The sequence below is a fragment of the Homo sapiens genome, chromosome 6 (genome assembly GCF_000001405.40).
Source record: "Homo sapiens chromosome 6, GRCh38.p14 Primary Assembly".
Lineage (NCBI taxonomy): Eukaryota > Metazoa > Chordata > Mammalia > Primates > Hominidae > Homo > Homo sapiens.
The window spans coordinates 88,795,776-88,818,833 of NC_000006.12; the positions used below are offsets into that span (position 1 = coordinate 88,795,776).

Sequence of the window (23,058 nt, forward strand, 5' to 3'; positions counted from 1 at the left end):
AAAATAAAAAAAGGGACCCTCGCAATACTGCAATGCACTATGATTTGGAAGGGGAAGGAGTGTAGGAGCCTGCCTATTGCATTTGAATAAAGAAATGTAATCTTATTTTGTTCTGCAAGCTGGAGAAGAAAAATCTATCATTACACAGAGAATTACAATTCAACTGAAGATCACAAATGAATCATGTACAAATGCCATGAGCACATACAAGAAATGGGAAACAATAAATCAATATATCTATACCTGCACTATCTACTTACACACATGGCCACTGAGCACTTGAACAGTGGCAAGTCCAAGACATGCTGTAAGTGTAAAATTCCCACTGGATTTCAAATACTCAGTACAAAAATAATAATTGTTTTTATATTGAGTAAATGTTGAAATGATAATACTTTTGATATAGTCGTTTAAGTAAAATATATTATTAAAATTAATTTTACCACTTTTTTTCTTAATGTGGCAACTAGAAACATTTAAAGTATATATGTGGATCATATTTGTGTTACATGTTATATTTCTATCAGTCAGTACTGGTCTCCCCCATATAAGGGTTTCTTCCATAGTATAATTTTACTAGGTCAAAAAACAGGGGTAGACTGGAAAGATAATACAGATACAAAGAGCAGTTAAGAAGCTACTGAAATAGGCTGAGTATAAAACAATTTGAGCCAAATCTGACATGGTCTTTTTTAAATAAGGAATAAATAGCAAGGACAACCCAAAAAGACAAAGTGATGAGCCACTTAACAGACTTCACTGATTGTTTGAAGATTGGTTGTCCCTAGTAGAAATGTATAATATGAACGAAGAAATAGAGTACTAGAAGCAAAACAAAAGGCATGGGTTAAAGGTTGATTTAACCAAAACAGCTATAGCCATAAAAAATACACTTTTCTCTATGAAGAGAAGGAAAGGGGGATAGAACTACCTTAGAAGACAAGTATAAAGACAGCCATCCAAAAGGTGGAAGAGGCTGAGAAAGCCAGTGTCTTAGGAAGCTTATTACAAATACAGAATTTGAGTACAACTACTCTCTCCTTTTTAGTTCTATTGTCTAATATTGCTATCAGTTATAACTTACGAGATAAAGTTTTTAAAAATACAAAATTGAATATGTAAACTAAGAGTAGATCTAAAACTTCTGGAAATTTCTGACATTTAGACAGGTAGTCCTGAGCTACGGTTTATTGCACCTTTTCCCTAATTCTCTAGTATATATAAGAAGATGATTTAATATTGCAAACACATTAATTTTCTCCAAATTAATCTAAATTCAAAGGCACTCCAATTAAACTCCTAATAAAAATTGCTGGGTAACATGACATACAGATTCTGAAACTTACGTGTTAAACAAAATGTCTGCAAATATTTAAGAACGTCCTGGCAAACAGGGAGGCTTGATTTATTACGAGATAATCAAGATTATACCAAGTTGCACAGAACTACACAAACACAATAAAAAATTTGGGGCTAAGTCAGAGCCATAAAATTGTAGAACAGATTAGAGACCACTGAAAATAACATGTTCAGTTTACAGCTGAAACAAAAGCTCCATAAGTATAAGGACCAGTTTGTACAGCATTAGGTTTTCAAGATCACTCAAATCAAAAAAGCAGAAAAGATAAAGTCAAAAAAGTAGGGAAATCTATCAGAGAAGAAAGGTAAAAGGGATTTCCTGGATGAAATAGTGAAAAGAAACTCTAAGAAGAAAAGGCTATGCAGCAGGACTAAAGAATGGAAGGCTTCAGAAAGAATGCCTTCAAATGAAAAATGGACCTTATATATTTGACTGCATTGATAAAAAGTAAACAGTTCTTTTGGAGAGTTTAAAGAAAGAAATATTAATAATTATAATAACCAAAAATATTCCTAATGCTAGATGACAAGACTTTTCTAAAAAAAGAAAATACAATTGTATACTATTTGACCCAGATAGGAACAATATTTATGTCACCATAAAAATATAAAAATTGAATATTAATTTGACCAAATATGTGATGTAATTACAATAGAATGACAGAAGGAGAAAGGGGTGTGGAGGGGGTTAGTGGAATTAGAGGGCTCAATCCTATTCTTCCACAGTACAAAGTAAGCAGATTATGTATAAAATACAAAACCAAAAAAGAACAGCATAGACTGTGTAGAACTGTAGAAGCAAAAGCCAAAAAAAAAAAAAAAAAAAAGAGGAAAATAATTGCCTCCTAGGAGTAGTACTCAGAGTGCAGAAAAAGGTAAGAGACTGTTTGGTAAGAGACTGTTCTATTTTTCAGCACAAATCACTCATTTAATTGGTTTTTTTAAATCATGGATAGGCATTACCATGGATTATGTGCAACTTACATAATTTTTTCAACAATAAAAAATATTACCTTCATTATTCTGAATATAAAAAATGAGAAAAATTGGCCGGGTACAGTGGCTCATACCTGTAATCCCAGCACTTTGCGAGGCTGAGGCAGGCGGATTGCTTGAGCTCAGGAGCTTTAGACCAGCCTCGGCAACAAGGCAAAACCCCGTATCTACGAAAAATACAAAAATTAGCAAGGCGTGGTGGTGCGCGCCTATAGTCCCAGCTACTTGGGGACCTGAAGTGCGAGGATTGCTTGAACCCAGGAGGTCGAGGCTGCAGTAAGCCATGTTTGTGCCACTGCACACCAGCCTGGGCAACAAAGTGAGACCCTGTCTCAAAAAAAAAAAAAGAGAGAAAAATGAACTGTAAGAAATAAGGTGGCAGAAATCCTCAAGAAGCAATTATACCTAGATCCAAAAGTATGCTTAAAAAATTATATATATCATGATCAAGTAGCATTTATCCCAGGAATGCAAGGATGGGTCAACATGAGAAAAATCAGTGTAATTTACTACATAAATGGTGTAAAAATGAAAATGACATGATAACCTTAGTAGATACCGAAGAGGCATTACTGCCTTAAAATTAATGCTTTAAAAGGTGTTAAAGCCCAAAACCTGTTTATGATTTTAAAAAGAATTATTGGAAGAACAGAATCAGAAATTTCTTAACACAATAAAGGATATCTAACAGAAATCTACCACAAACATACTTAATGGAGAAAATTTAGTTACATTCCCTTTGAGGTTGAGAAGAAGGTATAAATGTCTTCTCCCTTATCTAACTAGAACTAATACTTAATTCAATACTAGAGGTCCTGGTCAATGTGTAAAATTAGACAATGATGAGAACTAACAGAATTCAACAGGATTGTTGAATCAATAAAATAAATCAATAATGTGGCAGTGTACTAGAAGTAGCAATAAAAAAAGACACAATTTACCACAAAAGCAGAAAATGACAAATATTTAGAAGTTACCATAACAATAATAAAAAACTTAAACTCAGTTACAGAACAGAAAAAGACCTGAAAAAAAAAAGCCATAGCATTCATTGAGAAAGTGATTTAACATTGCAAACACATCAATTTTCTCCACGTTAATCTAAATTCAAAGATGTTCCAATTAAACTCCTAACAAAAATTTCTGGGTAGCATGACAAATTGATTCTGAAACTTTCACGTTAAACCAATTGTCAACAAATATTTAAGGTAATGCTGGCGAACAGGGAGACTTGACTTAATACCAGATATCAATTACAAAGTCATTGTAATAAAAAGTGTGGTTACGGCCCGGCGCGGTGGCTCACACCTGTAATCCCAGCACTTTGGGAGGCCAAGGTAGGCGGATCACCTGAGATCAGGAGTTCAATACCAGCCTGGCTAACATGGTGAAACTCCGTTTCTACTAAAAATACAAAAAATTAGCCGGGCATGGTGGTGCGCACCTGCAATCCCAGCTACTCAGGAGGCTGAGGCAGGAGAATCCCTTGAGCCCAGAAGGCAGAGGTTGCAGTGAGCCAACATTGCGCCATTGCACTTCAGCTTGGGCAACAAGAGCAAAACTCCATCTCAAAAAAAAAAAAAAAAAAAAAAAGTATGGTTACTAGAAAGGGAACGGAATGACAAATCAACTGCCTATACTAGACATCCAAGAAAGAGACTCACTTATTTGTCAGGCCATTTTTCCTACATATGCCATATATGTACAGATCTGAACCATGAGTTTCACACACTGAAATTTTCTGAATTTATTGTTATATTTAGACTTTGCTTCTTTCAGTCTAGGGAGACTGGAATATATTAGAACTAAAAGATTCAACTTTAATTTTCCTAAAATAGTATTTTCTTCCATTTCCGTCCCTAACCTCTAGTGCTCCTCCATGTCCTCCTCCCTCTCCTCCTCCCTTAACCACAGAAGATATTTCTGTTCTTTGTTTGGCAAGGGGGGCTAGAAGACAGACAGATGCCAATCACATATCACATTGTCTCTAAATTTGCATTTTAGCAGAGATTTATTACACACGTAAAGATATAATGCTTTACATGCATAGGTTGAATATGCCTTCTCTGAAATGCTTAGGACCAGAAGTGGTTTGGATTCTGATTTTTTTCAGATTGGGGAATATCTGCATTATATATACTTAACAGTTGAGCATCCCTAATACAAAAATCCAAAATGCTCCAACGAGCATTTCCTTTGAGCATCATGCTGGTGCTCAAAACATTATAAATTTTATAGCATATCAGTCTTTGAATTAGAGATACTCAACCTGTACAGTATTTAATACACTGTGTTCAAATTATTAGTTCCCTTTCTTTGACCCCAGGCACCCAGTCTGATGTCTCCATATATAAATTCTCAACTAGCTTATACTCTAATTACTAAAAGAAGAGTTGGTGAAGAAAAAAAGCAGCATATGATGAGGTGGTTGCACATGAAATAAACTCTTTCCTATAGAGTAAGTAGCTCTCATACTTGAACATGCATTAGAATCACTTGGAGAACTTGTCAAAACACAAACCGCTAAACTCCATCCCCAGAGTTTCTACTCAATAGGTGTGGGGCTGAGCTGCATCTGTGAAACTTCCTGGGTGGTGCTAATCCTCCTCTACAGGCCACATTTTGAAAAACACCGTCCTACAGAACATGGGTTATCAAGTAGGGCCAATTATGTTCTCTGAGGAAACTGGGCAATGTCAGACTATATTTTTGGTTGTCACAAATGGGAATAGGGAGCATGCTCCTGGCATCTATACTCCTGGCATCTAGTGAGTAGAGACCACAGATGCTGCTAAACATCCTACCATGCACAAGACAGCTCCCACAGCAAAGAATTATCTGGCCCAACACATCAGTGGTTGAGAATGAGAAAACCTGCTATAGAGTAAAATACAACTTACTTCAAATATATGATTCGACCATTAAGTTGGTAAAAGTTCTTCAGTGCATTTCAAAAATTTAACATGGAAAAAATATTCAAAAGTTTTATTCTTTCTCAAGTAGTGACAAAGTATGAATTTTACTCTACAGTAAACTACAGCAAAATGAAGTTTTAGAGAGATTAATACATAAAAGTATACCAAGTTACAAAAGGAAATAAACATTTATGTAATGCTATTGGTAGAAAATTATTTTTTAATAACTAATTATATTAAAAGACTGGTTTCTTTGAAATGTAACGACCAAAAATGCTTATTTCTTAAGCTGAGTGAAAAACAGATGGGTGCTCATTTTAGTATTACATGTATTTAGATATAAATAAAATCTTTCATAATGAGCAATTTGTTTTAAGGAAAAGTGGCAATCACAGCAGTAATCAATCCCAAGTAAATAAGTTTGAGGCATACATGTGTATGTGTATGTATATGTATATCTGTGTACACACACACACAAACACACAAACGAACACACACACACAGACAAATGAACTTACTCCAGTAGGCTGAAAAATAAGTCCATCCATTTCATGGCTCACTTCTTTGGCAAAATTTCCTTCAAGTAGCTATAAAATAAATACACATGTATTCTTTAAAAATATAATAATCACTTTAAAAGTATTTAAACTTCTTGCTAAGCTTTATAAAAACTTCTTAATATATAAGTTATAAGAACTGAAATACAAAATAAGAGAAAGGGATAGGTCTAAAGGAATCTAAGTTAATACATCGTAAGATTTGAATACACACACACAGACACACACACACACACACACACACACACACACACACAAATTTCCATTCCTTGGCAGGCTAGATATTCTAAACAATAGTCCTAACTACAACAACCAAAATAATGAATAAAGCACTGAAAACATATTTTTAAATGTATTCCTAAGCCAGCACAAAAGGAAGAAAGACATAGAAGCAAAAACAAAGTGAAAGTAGAAACTCTGGAAAGTAATAGATAAAAGGAATAAAAAATAAACACACACAAAAACAGGAGAAGCAAAGAAATACTTGGGGACAAGAATTTGTAACTACAAACTAGCTCAAACATGAAGATTATAGTCCAAAGCTACAAACAAACTTGCTTGGGGGCAAGAATTTGTAACCACAAACCAGCTCAAACATGGAGATTATAATCCATAAATACATTGTGTTTTCCAAGAACCCTTAGAGAATGTTTTTAATCTTACTTTGGGGTTTTTTTGTGTCTTTTTTATATTTTTCCAAGCAGAGAATTTCATTGCAAAGAATACACCGTGAAAAATACAACTAACAGTTTTTTCAATGCCATATCAACAGAGTTATAGACCCCATACCCTCTAATTAATTCTGACTGATTACGTAGTTTTAATGTATCTCTTTCACAGATTTTTATTATTTTGAAGAACTCAACATGTATATCACTGATGGAGGCCTGAAACATGAATTTCTGCATTTTGGGGAAGAGAACAAAACATACTTTCACAGAGCTAGGTGCATTAGTTCATTTTCACACTTGCTAATAAAGACATACCCGAGACTGGGTAATTTATAAAGAAAAAGCAGTTTAATGGACTTGCTGTTCCACATGGCTGGGGTGGCCTCACAGTCATGGCAGAAGGTGAAGGAGGAGCAAAGGCATGGTCTTACATGGCAGCAGGCAAGAGAATGAGTGTCAAGCAAAGGGGGAAGCCCCTTATAAAAGCATCAGATCACATAAGAACTCACTATCATGAGAACAGCATGGGGGGAAATAGCCCCCACGAATCAATTACTTCCCACCAGGTCCCTCCCACAACACCAGGTTATCTAGACTCTGGCCAATTAACAGAAAATTCAGGATAGTTCTAGGATTCAAATATGTCTTCTAAATTTTTGGATATGCTGTGTGTTATACATCCCTTTTATCACAATCACACACTCTTGAAAGCACTATGCTTAAAGAGTTTACAAGATTTGCTTTCCAAAAGCAACAACCAAAACTTCAAGTACGTATTTCACTTGCAACAAAAATCTGTGATTCTCTTCCCAAACTGTGACTTCATCTTCTCTGCCATTTCATCCTTCAAAATCTATAATTTCTCTAAACTGAGGGCAGTTCAAATTTGAGTTTAAAAATCTATATTTCCTTAAAATTTTAATGTTCCTTTCTGACACTGAGATAGAAATTAGATCAGTAATTGCCAGAGGCTTGGGGGGTAGTCTTTAATGAGTTTCAGTTTTGAAAGATGAAAAAGTTGGCTGGGCATGGTGGCTCACACCTGTAATCCCAGCAATTTGGGAGGCTGAGGCGGGCAGATCATGAGGTCAGGAGTTCAAGACCAGCCTGTCCAATATGGTGAAACACCATCTCTACTAAAAAATACAAAAATTAACCGGTGTGGTGGCGCGCGCCTGTAGTCCCAGCTACTACTCACAAGGCCGAGGCAGGAGAATCACCTGAACCCAGGAGGCGGAGGTTGCAGTGAGCCAAGATTGTGCCACTGCACTCCAGCCTGGGCAACAGAGTGAGACTCCATCTCAAAAAAAAAAAAAAAAAAAAACTAAATTCATAGCATTTCTGCTGAGCAATGATGCAATAAAAACCAAATACCACAATAATCTCTTTTTTCAAAAAAAAAAAAAAGGTTAAAAAAATGTAACCTTTAATCTTTCATTTGCTCTACTTGTATTGTAGGTACATCATTTATGGCAAGTTAACATGGTAGTTTCCATTCTTCAACCAAACTTCTCAAATTCATGTAATGGACCATGCCTGTATGTAAAGTAACAATAAAAAATAGCCAGTTAGCAAGACTCTACATAACATGATTCTACCTGCTGCAGAAATGAAAGTAATTTCATTTTTTATTCTACTCTTTTTATAAATCAGAGTATTTAAAGGACTGAAAATTCATGGGTCAAAATAAGAGTTCCTCTGCATTACTCTAGACAATATTTTTTTCTTTACTTGACACATAATATTTATGATATCACCTATCATGTATCAAAGACCTACAATGGAGTGTTGTGCTTGGTACTTAACATATCATTCAAAATACATAACTCCTCATGAGATGTGTATTCTCAAGTTTTGAATTATTACTCAATTTGCCAGAAAAGGAAACTGAGGTCATCAGACATAAGCAACTAGCTTTAATTCAGAGAGTAAAGTAAAATCACTCAGAACAGATTACATCAGACTTTAACTAAAAATAAAGAGATAACTAAATAAAGTCTTATGACTCTCTGAAACAAATGCCCCAAAGATTTCTGCAAGTTCCTAAATATATAGGTCCTCCAATAGCCACTTAAATTTTATAGACTTGGCCAGACACAGTGGCTCACACCTGTAATTCTGGCACTTTGGGAGGCTGAGGCAGGGGACTGCCTGAGGCCAGGAGTTCAAGACCAACCTGGCCAACACAGCAAGACCCCATTTGTATATTTAACAAAAATTTTATAGACTTTAAATGCATTATAGAATATACTATATGAATAAAGTGAATATGAAGGGAGATAAAATTCTTGAAGGAAAAAAGGTTTTCTAAGAATAGAGATGTAATCTAAAAATGTTATTAATATTGTATACTTTATATTAACTGATTTATATATTCATATGAGATCATATATGTAATGTGTTTATTAAATTAGAAATATTAGCTTTTGTTTATTTACAATTCTTAAAAAAAAAAAGTATCCAAACTTGTTACGGCCATCTTCCATATATCAGTATCTTCATCATTAGAGCCAACTTTTAAGTCATTTAGCCAGTTTCCATTATTTTTCCTGCTGCTGTCTCTGATTTACAGCATTCTTCAAATCATACATGAGATTATAACTGCAGATGTTATCCCAAGCTACAAGTACTGGTTGACTAATGTTAAGAAAATGCTTTTTCCCCTCATTCATTCCATAGATCTATGTTCATAATCTTAGAAGTGCTTTGCTCTTTGAAGATACCTTTAAAAGGTTGGTTTAAGAAAAAGTTCCTCATTCATTTACGATGTGAAAAATAGTAAGAGAATGCTGCTTCTACACTGATGATAATAAAAAAGCAGATAATCTATCAAATAATAACTTTTGTTATGGCCATCAGAAAGCTGACATCTGCAGGCAACCAAATAAACTGAATCCCAGCCCCTCCAAAGGAGGGTGAAGTATATGAACTCATGTCTTCTTTGGTAGAGAAAAGGAAGAGGAAGTGGCAGCCATAAGTGAGTACAAAGAAAACAACAACTGACCAATTCTTAAAAACTAAGTCTGGGCGAGTGGAACAGTTTAGAATCCCTGGAAGCCCAAAACACAAGAGATACAAACTTTTTCTCAGGCTTCTATCAGGCTTCACAAGAAAGACCACAGGCAGGGCAGGAAACATGAGAATGCCCCCACCTTGGTTGGGCACAGACGTTAAAACCCTCCTGCTTTCCAAACCCTTCTTGATATGATGCAAAAGTTACCTGGGAATAAATCCATATGCAGCTATACAAGAAGCTGGAGACAGACTTGGACCAATGATATTATATTGATAAAAAGCAGAAAGACTTGGTCCTGACAAAATATCCCTATGCAAGGCAAAACTTCACTGGCAAGAGGGAGAGGGAAGACCCACTGAGGAAAACCCCATGCCTGCGATTCAGGTGCTCAGGTTCTGCTTAATACTAAGGCTGGAGAAGAAAAACTAAGAAAACTCCACAGTCTTCACAAGTCTGGCACTGAGCGGCAAGAAACAGTTGTTTACATATGGGGAAAAGTACTAGAAGTATGAAAATAGAACACTCTGTGGTACAGGGGAGCAGAGCCTACTGAAAGCTAAACGTGAAACAGAAACACCAGGAGAAAACCCTTTTATACTCTAGGCATTACAATAAATACAAGTAACAGCAGCCAACTGCTGAGAAAATATAAATTCTTTGGAGCACTGAAGATGTAATTATATAGCAACACATAGAACAGGCTGATTCAACCACTACCCCTCCCCACCCACAAATGAAGCCTATTAACAAACTAAAAGAAGTATGCCTGTTACCAAGCATAAAGATACTTACCTCAGTCTCTTTTGTTCATATAGGAAAGAAAAATCCACGAAAGACGTCTAATTTAAAAATTCTGTCTCACACACACACATACACAAAGGAAAAATAAATGGCCTATATTCAAAGATAAGGCAGTCAACAGAAGCAGACAAAGAGAGGGTCTATATTTTGGAATTATCAAAGACTTTAAAAATAACATTTACAAAAAACAACAGATGCTGGCAACGTTGTCGAGAAAAAGGAACACGCTTTTTTTTTTTTTTTTTGAGATGGAGTCTCACTCTGTCGCCCAGGCTGGAGTGCAGTGGCACAGTCTCGGCTCACTGCAACCTCTGCTTCCCGGGTTCAAGAGATTCTCCTGCCTCGGCCTCCTAAGTAGCTAGATTACAGGCGCGCACCACCACACCTGGCTAATTTTTGTCTTTTTAGTAGAGAGGGGGTTTCACCATGTTAGCCAGGATGGTCTCAATCTCCTGACCTCGTGATCTGCCTGCCTCGGCCTCCTAAAGTGCTGGGATTACAGGTGTGGGCCACCGCACCCGGCCTGAAAAAGGAACACTGTTACACTGTGAGTGGGAGTGTAAATTAGTTCAACCATTGTGGAAGACAGTGTGGTGATTCCTCAGAGACCTAAAGGCAGAAGTATCATTTGACCCAGCAATCCCATTACTGGGTATATACCCAAGGAATATAAATCATTCTATTATAAAGATATATGCATGTGTAAATTCATTGCAGCACTATTTATAACAGCAAAGTAATGGAATCAACCTAAATGCCCATCAATGATAGACTGAATAAAGAAAATATGATACATATACACAATGGAATACTATGCAGCCACAAAAAGGAACAAGATCGTATCCTTCAGGGACATGGATGGAGCTGGAAGCCATTATCCTCGGCAAACTAACGTAGGAACGAAAAAACAAAACACTGAATGTCCTCACTTATAAGTGGGAGTTCATTGATGAGAACACATGGACACATGGGGGTGAACAACACACACCAGGCACCTGTGGGGGGCATGGGGAGAGGGAGAGCATTAGGAAGAATAGCTAATGGATGCTGAATTAATACCTGGGTGACGGCATGATCTGTGCAGGAAACCACCATAGCATGTGTTTACTTATGTAACAAACCTGCACATCCTGCACATGTACCCTGAACTTAAAAGTTGATAAAACAAATAAATAAATAAAAATAACATTGTAAATGATCTAGACAAAAAAGTGGAAAACATGCATAAACGGATATGGAGTTTCAGCAGAGATGGAAACAATAAAAATGAAACAATTGAAAATGCAGAAATAAAAACACACAACATCAGAGAAAAAGAATGTTAATCAGTGGGAATGATAATCAATGAGATTATCCACAGACTGGACACAGAAGAGAAAAGTCACTAAACTTAAAGAAGAAACGTACGTGGCACTTTTTCCAACTGAAATACAAAAAGAAAAAAAGAGGGAAAAAAGAAACAGTGCTGAGAATCAAAGAGCTGGGAGACTACAGCCAAAGACAGAACATTTGTACAGCTGGAATGCGAAAACAAAAAGAAAGATACAAGGAAGCAAAGAAACCAACTGAGAGAAATAATGCCTCCAATTGCTACAAAATTAATTAAACACATAAACACAAACACACACCCCAATGGACTCCAAGAGGACAGGAAGAAAGATTTAAGAAAAACAAAAAAAAAAATGTAGGTTTATCATAGTCAAAACCCAGCAAGAAGGGGGAAAAGATTACAGGCAGAGGAACAAAAATAAGATTGACAGCAGACTCCTTATCTGAAATTACGCCAGCCATGAGACAATGAAACCTCACCTTTAACATACTAATATTAATAGAAACAATGTCAATCCAAAAATCTTTAGCAAATGAAAATATCTTTCAATAATAAAGGCACAGTAGAGTTCTTTTTCAGACAGACAATAGCTGATAAAACATATTTCCACCAAGCTAGAATATAAGAAATTTTAAAAGAAAATTTTCAGGTAGAAGGAATATGATACAAGAATAAAATCTGTATCTAAACTGAAATAATGAAGGGCATTGGAATGGTTAAAAACTAGAATAAATATAAGAAATCTGTGTTCCTCTTTCTTTTCTTACAATATAATTGACTAATTAAAGTAAAAATATTAACAATGTATTGTAGGATTTATAACATATGTAAAAACAAATTGTATAAAAGGAAATGAGGTAAGAACCCCAACTAGGAAGTGGCATACTATTATTTAAAAGTAAATTGTGAAAACAGACACTATAAACCTTAGAACAACTGCTAAAATATACACAAAGATATATATCTAATAGGCCCAAAAAGTGGAGATATAATGGAATAAGAACATTCTCAAGTAATCTAAATGATGGCAAGACAAAAGGAAAAAAGTAAATGAGAAAACATGGGGCAAGCCATGTAGTAAATCAAGTAGTATGATAGTAGATTTAAACCAGATTGTTTTCATTCTAATGATATTTCTTCTAAAAACCACAACATTACAAAATCAACAAGCAGAGATTGTCATTATTAATAAATTTTTTTAAGAAATCAAGAACCAGCTGGATGTATGTCTGTAATGCCAGCACTTTGAGGGGCAGAAGCAGGCAGATAGCTTGAGCCCAGGAGTTCAAGACCAGCCTGGGCAACATGGCAAAACCCCATCTCTACAAAAAATATTTTAAAAAATGTAGGTTTATCATAGTCAAAACCAAAGTCAAAACCATAGTCAAAGCCAGGCCATGGCGGCATGCACCTATAGTCCCAGCTACTTGGGAAGCTGCTGTGGGAGGATAACTTGAGCCTGGGAAGCGGAGGTTGCAGTGAGCCAAGATCATGCCACTGAATTCCAGCCTGAGTGACAGAGTGAGATCCCTCTTAAAAAAAAAAAAGGAACCAACTATATAATAGTGTCTACAACAGCCCACTTTGTACATAAAGAGTCCGTTAGGTATAAAGTACAGAGATGGAAAAAGATGTCAAATTCAGGGCTAATGGAAAAAAGCTGAAGCATCTAGGCTATATTAATATAAGACAATGAGAACTTCTGAACAAGAAATTACTAGAGATGAAAACAATACATACTGACAAAGGGGGTCAATTCATCAGGAGTCTGTAACAATCTTAAATGTATACACACCTTAAAAAAAGCTTCAAAATAAAACTGACAAAATAGATAAGAAAAATAGTGGGGAAATCCTCAATTATACATAGAGAATTTAACACTCTTCTCTGAGCAAACGACTGGACAAATAGAAAAAAAAATCACTAGTAGTAAAGACATCTTGAAAAGACTTACAGAACACAAGCAGACAGAAAGCCAGTGAGGATATGGAAGCGTAGATCACTATAAAACAACCTGACTTAATTGACATTTATAAAAATACTCCACCCAAACCAGGAAAAAATGCTTTTTTTTCCTAAATGCGTACAACACATTTCAAAGTATATTCTCTGATCATAATGAATTAAATTAGATGTCAATATTTGGAAAGTCATCCAATATTTGAAAATTAAATAACACACTTCTAAATAACCCAAGAATAAAAGAAGAAATTAAAAGGGAAATTTTAAAGTATTTTAAACAGAATGAAAACAAAAACAGAGTAGATTAATGTTTGAGAGATGCAGCTAAAGCATATTTACAGAAAATTTTGCTGCATGAAATACCTAATTAAAAAGAAGATCAATGACCAGGCACAATGGCTCATACCTGTAATCCCAGCACTTTGGGAGGCTGAGGTGGGAGGATCACTTAAGGCCAAGAGATTGAGACCAGCCTGGGCAACATAGTGAGACCCTGTCTCTACAAAAAATTTAAAAAGTAGCCAGGCATGGTGGCATGCACCTAAGTCGCAGCTACTCAGGAGGCTGAGGCAGAAGGATCATTTGAGCCCCAGAGGTTGCAGCTGCAATGAGTCCTGATTGCACCACTGCACTCCAACCTGGGCAACAGAATTAGATATCGCCTAACAAAAGCAAAAAAAAATTTTTTACCCATTTTTATAATAAAAAAAATTAAGAAAAAGGTTACAAATCAACGACCTCAACTTCCACTTTAAGAAAGTAAGGAGAACTGTAAAGAATTTCATAATCTCAGATATAAAAAATAGCCAGTTGGGCTGAGATAGTGTACACAATAAAAACAACTTCTCCCCTCCTAAGGCTAAGACCGGACTTCACTGAAGACGGAACAGCCATAGCTCACTGGATGGTGAAGCTGATGAAATGTCCCAGCTGCCTTTAAAGATGGAAGTTGTATCAAAGCAGTATGTCCAAATTTAGCATACTGAGTAATAGGTAGGAATGAATTTCCAAATTTCAAAATTAAGTCGCTGAGATGAAAATTTCAAAGAAATTGAGAGGCCAAGGTTGTAAGTCAAACCAAACATTGGGAAGTGTATTCAGCAACGATGATGGGCAGCCTTTGAGAGAAGAGTCTGTCAGGCACAGTCTCCATGAAAAAAAGGAGTTAGCAAAAAGTCAAAAAGAGAGTCTCAATGTGCTTAAAATAGCACGACTTGAAAAGTCAGGTTTTATTTAATAATTTAAATAACAGATATAATTTTAAACTCACTTTGATATTCTTTTGTGTCTGATATTACATTCAAAAAATAACCTACTGTTTCTTTTTCTCCTTTTCTATATATAAAGTAAAACTTATTCATGAGTTGCACTGGTATCCTAATGTAAGAAGTACTAAGCTAAGTTTTTCATAGATAATTCACTGGTTGATTAACATCCCAATAAAAATACAATTGCATGCAGTGTTCATGAGATAGATATTTCCTGACTGCCTTCCAATGCTAGAAACCAAGCCAGCATTAGGACATGCTAATGGGATATGAGGACCCAATAACAACATAAGCCTTGGCCAATGTGCCTAAATAATACCTTAATTTCAATTTGACAGTAAAAACATTTAAATGTGATGACATAATTACAATTTCTCCTTGTCAATCTTTCTTCAGAAACGTGGTTCTACTTAAATTACCCTAGATGTTTTTAAAACACTTCTAACAAATAAAAGAATCTTAATTTAGAAATGGTTAATTGAAAAATCTTGGAGAAATTTAAAGTGGAATATCTGGTCAATCACCCTAAACTAGGATACAATCCTTTTCAGAATTACAATTTTCTTGATAATTTTCCCTCCAGACAAAATTCGAAGATAATTGGATGAAAAGTAAAACAGTAGACATTATATATCAATTTTTAATAAAGCATGATACTTTTCATAAGGTTTTTCCTATAAAACTTAAATTTGCTTACTTATGAACATAATCTTATCTTTGAATACCATCTGAAATATCCTACAGAGGGCATGTAGCATGGACCAAAGATTGGAGGAACTGACAAAGGTTACCATATGATTGACTCTGAGTTGATGTTTTATGTCTATGAATCATGATGTAACCGAAAACCAAGTTGTTATAAATGCATAAGCAGAGAAACATAATGCAAAAGGCTTGACATTAGAAACATGAGAAATAAAATAGAAACTGCAAAGTTACAAAGCATAGAAAGGAGCCTTTTAAAAATAATAAGCAAAATGACAGCTTAAGACTACAGTGAAGAAGAAACTCAATCTCCAATGTTATTAGAAATACGAATTGGCAATATCAATTCATTATAGTATGGAAAATATACCAATGGAATACTTAAAAAAGAATAAACTACCTCCACCTTTCAGTTCTGGTCTATTCTACTCAGACATCTTCTGAGCAGATATTCCCACAAAGCCTCAACTCATTGCCTGAGAATACTCAATATAGTAACTTCTATCTCTTGACTCTTTTATGTGCTTTCATAACTCCCCACAAATCCAAGGTTTAGTTTTAAAACCCCCCCAAAAATGGAAATTTGCACTCCCCTGGATACTAATCTTTATTGGTTTTCAATCCCAAATTCTAACTTCTAGTTCAGGTTAGGATTATTCAATGCTTCTGTACTCTGAATGTCCTTCTAATCAGTAAATAATAATCCTACAAGTCATCCTTCTTGCTCATCACAAAGCCAACATCATTATCTTCTTTTAAAAAAGAATGACTTGATTGCCACTATTTACCAATAGTGCCTAAACAACTATGTCATTCAAGTTAGCTAATCAAAATATAAATCGCTTTTGCAATACTATTGTTGGCTCTTTCATTAACCAATATTATTGCAATTAAAAAGAGGCATAATAATTCTGGTGAATCCTATTTGACAAGTTAGAAAATCTCAAACAAAATTTCTCTAGAAAATATACCCTCTTAATTTTGGTTGCCGTTAGTCTTATTTTTACCAAAATCCCTTCATAGATCCACAAAGAAGTAGTCAACCACATCCTCATGGAACAATAAAAGTTCTTTTCATCAGATTTCTAATTATTCTTTTTTATTTCATAATTTAGGCATCATTCACTCATTCAACAAACATTCACTTAGTACCAATAAGTGACAACCACTGTGTTAAGTGTTTGAGATGTAAAAGAGTTTACTCCATGTCTATCTTGGAAGAGCAGGTGGCAGGGTCTAGTGGGGAGACCCCAAACTCAAATGTCTATACGTGCCAGGCCATAACCTGAACTGGACAGGGTATACAGTAAGACGGACGCGTGAGACCAACTGGAGAAGACATCCTCATCTACAAGCAGTCAAATTCAACATTGTTTACATATCATATGAGATTACACTTTATGAAGCTCATGAATTTATGAGTTAATATGGACCTAAATACACATAAAATAGTTTTTTTACCTTAAATGCTTTCAATAGAGATGCTTAAAGACTTCTAAGGAAACAAAACAGCAATTATATTTTCATCTATCATTTAAGGATTTATTCAAATATTTACTGAGTACTAATTACATATTCATTTTTAGAAAATGATGAGAAGAGCAAGAGAAGGAGGTAATACATACAAAACTACTAATATATGCCAGGTACTGTTCCAACACTTTACATATTTTAACTTATTTTTAAACTATGCCCTAAAGAGTTAAAGAAACCAGTGACTGGCAGAAATTATTGAGCCTGCAGGGTGGCAAATTAAAAAAAGAAACAAATTGCTGAAACGCTGAAACTCCCTCCACTTATGAGATTTAAAACCTGGCTGAAATCAACTGGAACCGATATGGCCTACTGGCGTTTGCACAGAACGAACTTGCCGGTGTCACAGATCAAATTTCCACCACAGGCTGCATACTAACTCCCCCTGAAACTTGCACATGAGATCCATGAGGTAGTATGAATAAATAGCTGTGCATGCCTGAGGACTTTCCAGACCTCTCCTCTCCTTCCACCAATAACCTACCAATCCCTGAACACACTCCCTAAACCTTTTCTAATGAAATTACTGCCTTAAAGTCAGCACAGAGAGACAGATTTGAGCTGGACTCCTTTCCTCTTGTTAGTCGACTTGCAATAAAAAGCTTTTATTTTCCCAAAAACTCAAGTGTCATAGTATTGGCTTCTAGCACATCAGGCAGCAAGCCCTTTTGCTCGGTAACATTTTTAGCCTCATAATTACCATATACAGTAGGGATTATTGTGATTCCCATTTTAAAGGTGAAGTTAAGAACTTGCCTAAGGTTACACAGCAAGAAACTGAGAATCCAAATGCATTCTGGCTCCAGAGTCCATATTGTTAGCTGCTATTCTAAACTAGAGTGTCAGAGTCCCAAAAACTTCTCCTAATCTCTACTCTAGTCTAGGTTATATGCTCCTTCAATAAACTATCAAAGTATCCTATGCTTCCCTCCATCACAAGCTTTTCCCATCTGTCTGACTACTAAATTGATATGTATGCTTTTTGAGGTCAGGAATCACATCTTACATTCATTGTATTTTCAACATCTATTACAATAATCTGGTGCACAGTAAGCTCTCACTTAACAAATGTGTGTTAAATAAATATAAAATGAATAACACAGTGCAAGAATCTATAAAAATAAGCTGGTAAGGCTAGGTTATAACCATAGGTTATAGGTTAGGTAGAAAAATACATAGGCTGTATTATCACAAGAGGTTTTATAAAATGAAAACATAAAAAACTGTTAGAGAAGTTTAAAAGTTGATTAGACTTGTGTACGTATTATGAAAGGGGTAAGATTTTAAAAAAAAGCTAAAGTCATCTCTCATAAGTTAATAACTTCCTAATAAATCATCCTTTATTACCTATATATATCTCCAGTGAAGACAACAGTAATAACGTCCTAACTGGGCATATAGAGTTGCTTCTAGGTGAATTTCCTTTCTTCAAACTATTTCTACTCACTATGCTACTCACTGACTTTCTAAAACAAACAATTTGTTGTGTGTCATGGTCATATCTAAAAATATTTGAATGCCCTTCACTGTCTATAGTCCAAGTTGCCTTAGTATAGCTTTTAAAGCCCTTTTTTTCCTGGGAAAACTCTCCTGAATATGTCTATAATCAAATCACAATGAAATGCTCACCTTTTCTAAAATATTTATATACTTTGATATCATTAAACCTTTGTTCATGCTATACTCTGTATCCAGATTGCAGCTGACAAGAAATATAAGTGAGTATTTGTTTTGTGGATAGAAAAGCATGACCTATCAGTTTAGAAGAATAGTAAGTACTTTTGAAATGAATATACGAATACAATGGATATTTGGCCATAAATACATAATGCAGTAAAAATACAACTAAACTGCATAAATGACTAGTCTGGATGTCATGAGGGAGAAAAAGTAGAGAGATTTAAAAAAAAGGAAAAGGCTAAATAGTTCTAATTTGAACATTAAGGGAAAATCATTTATTTGTAAAATAAAATTTAAGATTTTCAAATAAAGAGTAATATGAGAAATTGCAAAAATATACCCTCTGTTTAAATAGGTGTGTTGAGGAATTCACTTTACCAAAGAGAGGGCCTGGCCTTTGCCCTCAGCTACTGGGAAACGATCTCTAGGCCCAGGGGATATCCTCCTTGATAAGAGTACCTGGAGTCACTGGAGAGTCTAACAATGTGACTCATGATGGGAGCTTCCTGGAATACCCTGTCAGCTCTGATCTCCAAAGAAACTAGAAACTAAATGTATTAGCCTGAACTTTTGGGAGGAGATAAAGACTAAAGGTCAGACACAGGGACAGTATGTGAACAAAATCCAGTATAAACTGTGGACACCAAAAGCTTGCATTAACTTCCCTGGACTGTCATACATCATAGCCAGGAAGAGGTAACAGCATCCATGACTCCACCAGGAAAGCACAACCAGAAGCTTTGCTTTTGAGCCCCTCCCAGATTCTGCCCACGTGTCTCTCCTTTGGCTGGTTTTAGTATGTATCCTTTCATTATAATAAAACTATAATTCTTAGTGCTCTGAGTTTTGTGGGTCATACCAGTGAATTATCAAATCTGAGGGAGTCAGTGGGGACCTCAGTATCTAAAGCCAGCAAGTCTGAAGTAAAGGAGGCCCTAGGGACCCCCAAACTTGAGGCTGGTATCTGAAGCAAGGACCATGCGGTTGGCCTAAACGTATTCCAATAGGTTTTTGTCACTGTATTTCTCTAGTTGATACCATTTCAGCTGTCCTCAAAGTCACACCCATCAGCAGGAAAGCTTATGACTTCCCCTGTGAGGCATTATTGCCAAGAAGCTGTTCCGGAAGTGACAGACTGTAGAATGATGCGATAGTTGCCTTCTCTGTTAATGAGTAAAGTGACCCAGTTAGCCATCACAGATGAGACCTTTAGCTTCACTTTAATAGACATTGATGTCTCCGGATGAGGACAACCCACACTGGGATACCAAATGGCATTTTAGCTGTAAACTAAACATGTTCTGCAGCCTAATAAAGTAACAGGAAAATGGAAGTGAGACTTTCAGAAATAAACTTTACTTTCCACAATATAAAAAAGTATAACATTTCCCTATTCTTTGTATCAATTTTAAGCTAGGACAGAAAGAGAAAGCTCAAAATCATATAAAAATAAGACCTAAGATTTCTATCTAGAATGTTGTATGAAATATATTGTGAACAAAATAGCAAAATATGTATACCTCTGTTACGGTGATTTTATTTCCTGTACTTAAAATTAAGCATTTATCAACAATTTAATGCAGCAAAGTAATTACATGGTTCACTGGGATTTGACATAACACCTTTAAAGAATACTGACTTTCATTCATTTTATTGTCATTAGGCTCCAATGTCAAAATTAAAGTTCTATTAGTTATCTTCCATGCCTCTATATGTACATTATCTCCCAGGAAGATTCCATCCTACTTCAGTCTAGTGAGTTACAATCTTCTCATGAGGTGCACATATGTGTATACAGTATATGGGGACATATATGTGCACTTATAGTCCCTAGGCTAAGACTAAGAATTCTAAGAACACGCAAAAAGAAGGGCAAAGTACACAAAAGGGGGAAGAAATGAAAAACTTCTTTAATGAGAAAAAAGAATGAACAGAACGAGTGGGACAAAACCCATAGCACATAATGGGGTATTTGACATAAAATACTAGGTATCAGAGGTAAGACTAAGCAAAGTATATTTTAGGTATTGGAAAAGCAATGTACTTAAACCAATAACACCACCAATTTAAATTTATTACTCTTTTGTTCTCAAGTATATGAAACTATGAGTCATTCAAGCTTCCATTTGAAAATAACATTCAAAAAAACCTTTGCGAGCACCCTAGAATCAGTAATAAAACCTATTCTAATTATATCTAGAGAAAGCATTGATTTACAATACACCAAAACTTAGAAAAGGTGACCCAGATATATGAGTACTTAAAATTTCAATGTCATTGTTTCCTGGAAGTAATCACAGTCTAAGGAGGAAATGGGGACACAGGGGGCACACAGGCTGGGGGAGAGATTCTCATTATTTCCAAACAATAATATGGAGACCTAAAACTATTCACATACAAATCAACACTGGAACTTTGAACTCAATCCTTAAAGTCTGGCCAGTAATACAGTTTAGACCTGAAGCACCAAAAGATAAGTTTTAGCTTGTTGCAAGCTCTAGAGACACACTGAAGAACAACGGTGGCACCTTGTACACTCTAGAGCAAAAACCACTCTGGTCTAGCGTATGTAAAAGGAATCCTAAATATATACATGCCTTTCATTTAAACCCCTTTCTTCTCAGACAGCAAAAAGGAATATGCAAGGTATTCAGAACCTCTTCATACCATATATCTGGACTAAGTAGGTACAGTTATCTCACTTCAGACATATCAGACAGATGGAATTTAAAAGGTACATTTTTTGGATCTTTTACAGCTTAATTTTTCTGGTCATCCTACCCAAAATGTGGCCCAGGCACAGTGGCTTACACCTGTAATCCAAACGCTTTGGGAGGCCATGGTGTGAGGACCGCTTGAAGCCAGGAATTTAAGACCAGCCTGGGCAACAAAGTCAGATCCTGTCTCTACAAAAAAATAAGTAAAAAAAAAAAAAAAAAAAAAAAAAGTGGGGGGAGGTGTAGATATAAATACACTAAATATACACACAACACATACGTGTACACACACACACTCATATTCTCCAACTATCAGAAAACTAATAAACCACTCTGAACTATATCATGTCTCCTCAAACTAATCAGCAACCTTAACCCTATTCCTTCACGTACTTTGCCAACCTCTGAACCTAAATGATAACTAACCTATCCCATGCCTTCACCATCCAAGTCTATTCACATCATTTTTTTTTTTTTTTTTTTTTTTTTTTTGAGACGGAGTCTCGCTGTGTCTCCCAGGTTGGAGTGCAGTGGCGCCATCTCGGCTCACTGCAAGCTCCGCCTCCCGGGTTCATGCCATTCTCCTGCCTCAGCCTCCCAAGTAGCTGGGACTACAGGCGCCCGCCAACACGCCCAGCTAATTTTTTGTACTTTTAGTAGAAACGGGGTTTCACCGTGTTAGCCAAGATGGTCTCGATCTCCTGACCTCGTGATCCGCCCGTCTCGGCCTCCCAAAGTGCTAGGATTACAGGCGTGAGCCACCGCGCCCGGCCTATTCACATCATTTTAAAATCATTCTTCTATACAGATGTAAGATGAGTCAACATCTAACAGTTTATTTTCTTTTAACCATCTGTAATTTCCATCAGGTTGAGCATTATGTGCAATTGTTCCTAAGTATTCTTAAACACCTAAAAATACAGCCAAATATACTATCATTTTTTGAAAGTCAGCATATTAGAAACATAAGCTCAAGACATTGGGTTAACCAGGAGCATAATTTAAGTTTACTTTGGGCTGGGCGCGGTGGCTCATGCCTGTAATCCCAGCACTTTGGGAGGCTGAAGCGGGTGGATCACCCGAGGTCAGGAGTTCAAGACCAGCCTGGCCAACATGGTGAAACCCCGTCTCTACTAAAAATACAAAAATTAGCCAGGCATAGTGGTACATGCCTGTAATCCCAGCTACTCAGGAGAGAAGAATCGCTTGAACCCGGGAGGCAGAGGTTGCAGTGAGCCAAGATCCTGCCATTGCACTCCAGTCTGGGCAACCAGAGTGAAACTCCGACTCATAGAAAAAAAGAAAAAAGTTTATTTCGTCCATCAGGAACCAAATCAAGTCAGGCTAAAGATGAATGCACAGTTACTGATAAAATAAGGCTATGAAATTAACTACCAATTCATTACGAGTATGATAAACCCAGTTTAAAATGTTTTGTAATTGTGCTGCAAAAGCCATAATCAACAAGAGAAAAATAAATTTGTGATACATACTGAGAACAGTTTTAATAAAATTAACTTCTCTTAAAATCAGCAATAAATGACTGCA

General features: G+C 35.9%; 1 protein-coding gene across 5 annotated transcripts in view; it reads right to left on the reverse strand.

Annotated features, from left to right (window-relative positions):
• RNGTT (RNA guanylyltransferase and 5'-phosphatase) overlaps positions 1-23,058 on the reverse strand; it is a 353,722-nt gene that overhangs the window by 185,879 nt on the left and 144,785 nt on the right. For 3 of the 5 annotated variants that reach the window (NM_003800.5, XM_047419443.1, XM_047419442.1), the window contains exon 12: positions 5,789-5,857. The exons of the other annotated variants lie outside the window; for them this stretch is intronic. In NM_003800.5, the coding sequence (NP_003791.3) occupies positions 5,789-5,857 (69 nt within the window). The remainder of the gene's footprint in view (positions 1-5,788; positions 5,858-23,058) is intronic. 5 annotated transcript variants of the gene reach the window in all.